Raw genomic sequence first — 4,147 nt, 5'->3', positions numbered from 1 at the left:
TGTAATTACCAATAAAACCAACATCTTTGATTGCTTTAAATACAAATTAAAATAATATGCCTGAATATAATTATTAAACTGTATTGAAAATACATTTGTAGTATGCTAAACCAGATGATTTAAACAATAACAAGGGTTTTTCTTCTCAACTAACAAAAGATCAGGATCATAACACAGGTGGCTTAGAATTGTGTTGGATTTTAATTAACACTGGCCCTGTCATTAGTGGCTACTGAAGTACTTTCTCCACTTCTTTAGTTTTCACAAGCCATGTGTGTCATCTCAATTGGTACAAAACTAAATTGATTTTTCTCAAGTTTCTATCATCTTGTACAACAAAGCTCTAATATAGAGTGATTGATTTTTATTACATTAATGTAATATAATGGCATTGAAGTTAAATAAGCAGCCAGCATTAAAAAGGATAATTTCTAATTATTTTCTATTAACTTCCAGTCTATCATTTTTCTCTATGATTGTTCAACATATGACTGATGAAGACATTGAAAAGATCCTTTTCTCTAAGCAGACAACAGAACATAACAATGTAATGTTGAAATATAAAAGCTAGAAAATGATTCTTCACAAAAATAAATTGAGACAAACAACAGGGTTTTAAGGTTTAAATTTAGGTATTATGAATAAACCATATGTTCTCATAACCAGCATCTGTTAGTTATGGTGATCAGGTTAAGTATCTTTTTAATAAATGAAAATATTTTGAATTTTGTCTTTTTAAGTAGGTGGAAGCCATGCAATAAACTAAACAGACTGTGTTTTTCTTTTGCTTTGAAGATATTGGTTAAGAATTCCTGAAATGTGTAACTTATAGCTCCTGGTTTAAGAGAAAAAAAAACTAAGAATATACCTGAACTTTAAATTATAACATTGTAAGAAGAGTTAAAGAATACTTATGTTTAAAATACACACTTCCATTATAAACATTCAAGGTCCAAAACAGTAGACTGTTTTCATAAAACATGTATCAGTGTCATTTAGCATCATGGCAATTTGAGATTTCCCACAGGTAATGCAAACTCCTAAGCATTAGTGTATGGCTCTGTAATGATGTGACTAAGGAAATGCATTTTCTTTTCTGGAAATTGTAGGTTTTCATTAACTATGACATGAACCCAAGGATTCTCTGTTGATTGTGGAACTAATGAATAAAATTGGTCCTCTTGAATTAGAAACCTCCTCAAACACTTAAAAATTCCATTGTCTGGCAGTTTACTAGTTTGCAGAGTATACACTAGCATCTGTGGAGGTTTCCTAGAAAGCTTAGAAGCTGGCTCTGTGTAAATTAACAGGAAATGTAATGACTGAAAAGGTCTTGTTTAATGGATAGTTAGTATTTATGATTAACTACACTTATTTCCTTATGTAAACTATTCTTATTTTCTTCAATTCCAGCTTTGTGGAACTAAATACAATTTGGATGGGATAGTTAATAGTGTCTCTTCAAAATAATATTTTTGGCAAATCTATGATTTTAAACACTTGTACCAACAAGCACTATGCAATACATATGTACAGCAAAAACAAATCCATTTTATATCGCATCTATAAGAAAAAAAAGCAAAAGTTATATTTATATGTTGCTTTATAGAGTAGCAATTTGTAAAAGTAAATCTATTGTTTATGATTATGATTTTGTATGAGTAGAAGAGTATAGAAAATTGATGTAATATTGCATTATGATTGTTTTAATAAAACTTTGAGAAAAAGACAACATAAACTCCAGCTCTTTCTTACTGTCATGTTTGGGAGTCTCAAGTGGTCCTAGTTGACCAACTTCTCTGGGAATAGCTTCTCCCCTTCTGTCTGATTTGCACTAAAGATGAGTCATAGACACTGACTGATGTTCAAGCAGTTTATTTTGGAAGTGCTGTTACAAGACAGATAGCAGGAGCAAGCCAGTAACATGAGCCGGATGACTGACTGACCAGGAGGATCACCATATGGAGACCATTCTCAGAGTTTGCAAGACTCTTCTTCATTTCTTATACCTATATTTAGTCTAGGTCAGTTACCAGATATTTATTTCATAAAGTAACCCTAAGCTATTCTTGTAAAGTTAAGTTTTGTTTTAAGGTTTATGAGAGTTATGTCTGTGCCAAGGTGGCCTTTTCTGTAGGGCAAAGATATGTTTTAGGTCTTGTCATAAAGACCCAATAATCCCCAGTCCTGGTTGCTATGGGGGTCTATACAGTCCCATACTGGGGGTCATTGGAAAGTCCCCAGCTCTAGTTCCCATGGAGATCTGTAAAGTTCCCTAGGCCTCGTTACCATCTACCATTAAGTGGCAGGTAGTATTGGCCCTGCAAGATGTTTAATTAGGCCTTTGGCTATCTTTACTTTTATAGCCATAATACATTACTTACAGCATACTACATTAACTTTTTTGGTGTACCTGATGGAGGAACTCTATTTCTAATGGTCTGTCTTGTCTGCTTTTCTCCATGCTATCACCAAGGAAAATGAGCTCTAATGGATAAAACTTCTTCATAACAGAGCAAATGAGTTCTTTTCTAAATTCATAACCACCTACTTCACAGGCTTTCTTATTATGGTCCAGAAATATTCCATATATTCCAATTTTCTATGGTGAGTTTTAAAATATGTATTCTTTATTTTTCTTATAATTATAAAATTAGCATGCATATAGAACAATATTCAAATGTCAGAGAAACATCAAAGAGATAGTAATTTAGCGCTTATATGCAAGTCCATGTTAAGAATTTATAGGATAGCAGAAGACATAGATAGACATTCATCAAAAACTATCATTTAAAGTTAAATTAAAAATTCTGATGTTTATTAATGAGAGTCACTTAATATTATAAAAGAGGTAGACTTCTCCTTGTCGGGGTTGTCAGAGAAAGATTTCCCAAGGAAATGAAAGATAAGCTGAGAATTGAAAATAAGGAAGCACTACCTAGGTGAAAAGTTCAGCATACAAACAGGTTGTGTGATGGGAGGAGAATATGTTCAGAAAAGATGTAAGGAGGACAATTCAGTTGGAATAAAAGTAGGAGAAGCTGCATAAAGCTGCATAATTAGTCCAGGACCAGATGACTTTATCTTGACAAAATTGTTTTTGGACCACTAGTGAGAAATCTATCTAAGAAAAGAGGGATCATTTTACATGTTCTAATTATGGTGCATTCCTCTTCCCACTTCCATTCTGATGCAATTGTGCTAAACTCTGACTCAATCCAATAAGGCTGCCCCCTTCTGTTTGTGCTCTGTTCCCAGTGGCATTCTAGGCAAAGTCCACGAAATTAGATCTCATCTAGTATGCTCCTTTTCATTCAAAGGTGGAATTTGACAGGTGATGTCAGCAAGGTGGCCAATTAGAAGCTCTTAGTGCTCCTCCCTCTGCAAGACAACCCAAAACAACAATTAACTACATTTTGACCAAGAAGAAAAATAGTGCTGGAGAACAACAAAGAAACAGCAGAAATTCTACAGAGAACAGAAACCAGGATGACTGTATAGGGAAGGAGAAGGATCACCTTGCTTCTCCCACTTTGTTCCCCCAGTGGGAATCAGCTCAGAACCAGAAGGTACTTATTTCTGTGGAGAAAATGTAAACAAAAGGAACACAGAAGCCCATATCAAAATCATGGACATCTGAATTCTTTGCTACTGAAGAATCCTACAGTTCTCATGTTTTGGGCCCAGCTGAGTGAGCTCCCTGGAGTCTACAAGCTGAGCTACCTTCAGAGAAGCAGCCACACTGCACCCTGGGTCTTTGTGGTCGATGCTACTACTGTGCTACATCATCTTAAAACCAAAATCACTGCTAGAGTGTGTCCTGCTTTAAGAGTGAGTAGTCATTTCATCCCTCCATCCCTGAGGTTAAGCTACCACTGCACCAAGCTTACCCAGTAGCACTCCATCTTCAAGCAGTGCTATTACTCACTAGGGCCAAGCTAACACAGATCTCCTCCACCCCCTAAATGAGTTGCTAGCAAACTCTAACCTTAGAGAAAAGCTGAAGAGGTGCCCACCTCTGAAGACCCAGAGTCTCAAATTTCCGGTCTAGTCATGAACTTAGTGCCACAGCCAAGAAAATGTTCCAGCCCCACCAGGATCACAGGCCTCCAGTACACCAGAGCAGTTGCAAGCCCTAGTGCCACAG

The 4,147-nt window shown here is 35.7% G+C and overlaps 1 annotated feature.

The window, feature by feature from the left end:
• Positions 2,735-3,934: an enhancer, noted in NCBI's record as "MED14-independent group 3 enhancer chr13:66251524-66252723 (GRCh37/hg19 assembly coordinates)". NCBI's record gives its function as "activates an origin of replication core promoter dependent on BRD2, BRD4, P300/CBP and CDK7 cofactors, and independent of MED14, by STARR-seq in HCT116 cells {active_cell/tissue: HCT116}" and the evidence as "EXISTENCE:reporter gene assay evidence [ECO:0000049][PMID:35650434]".

The sequence above is a fragment of the Homo sapiens genome, chromosome 13 (genome assembly GCF_000001405.40).
Source record: "Homo sapiens chromosome 13, GRCh38.p14 Primary Assembly".
Taxonomy (NCBI): Eukaryota; Metazoa; Chordata; class Mammalia; order Primates; family Hominidae; genus Homo; species Homo sapiens.
This window is presented reverse-complemented; position numbering and strand designations above follow the sequence as displayed.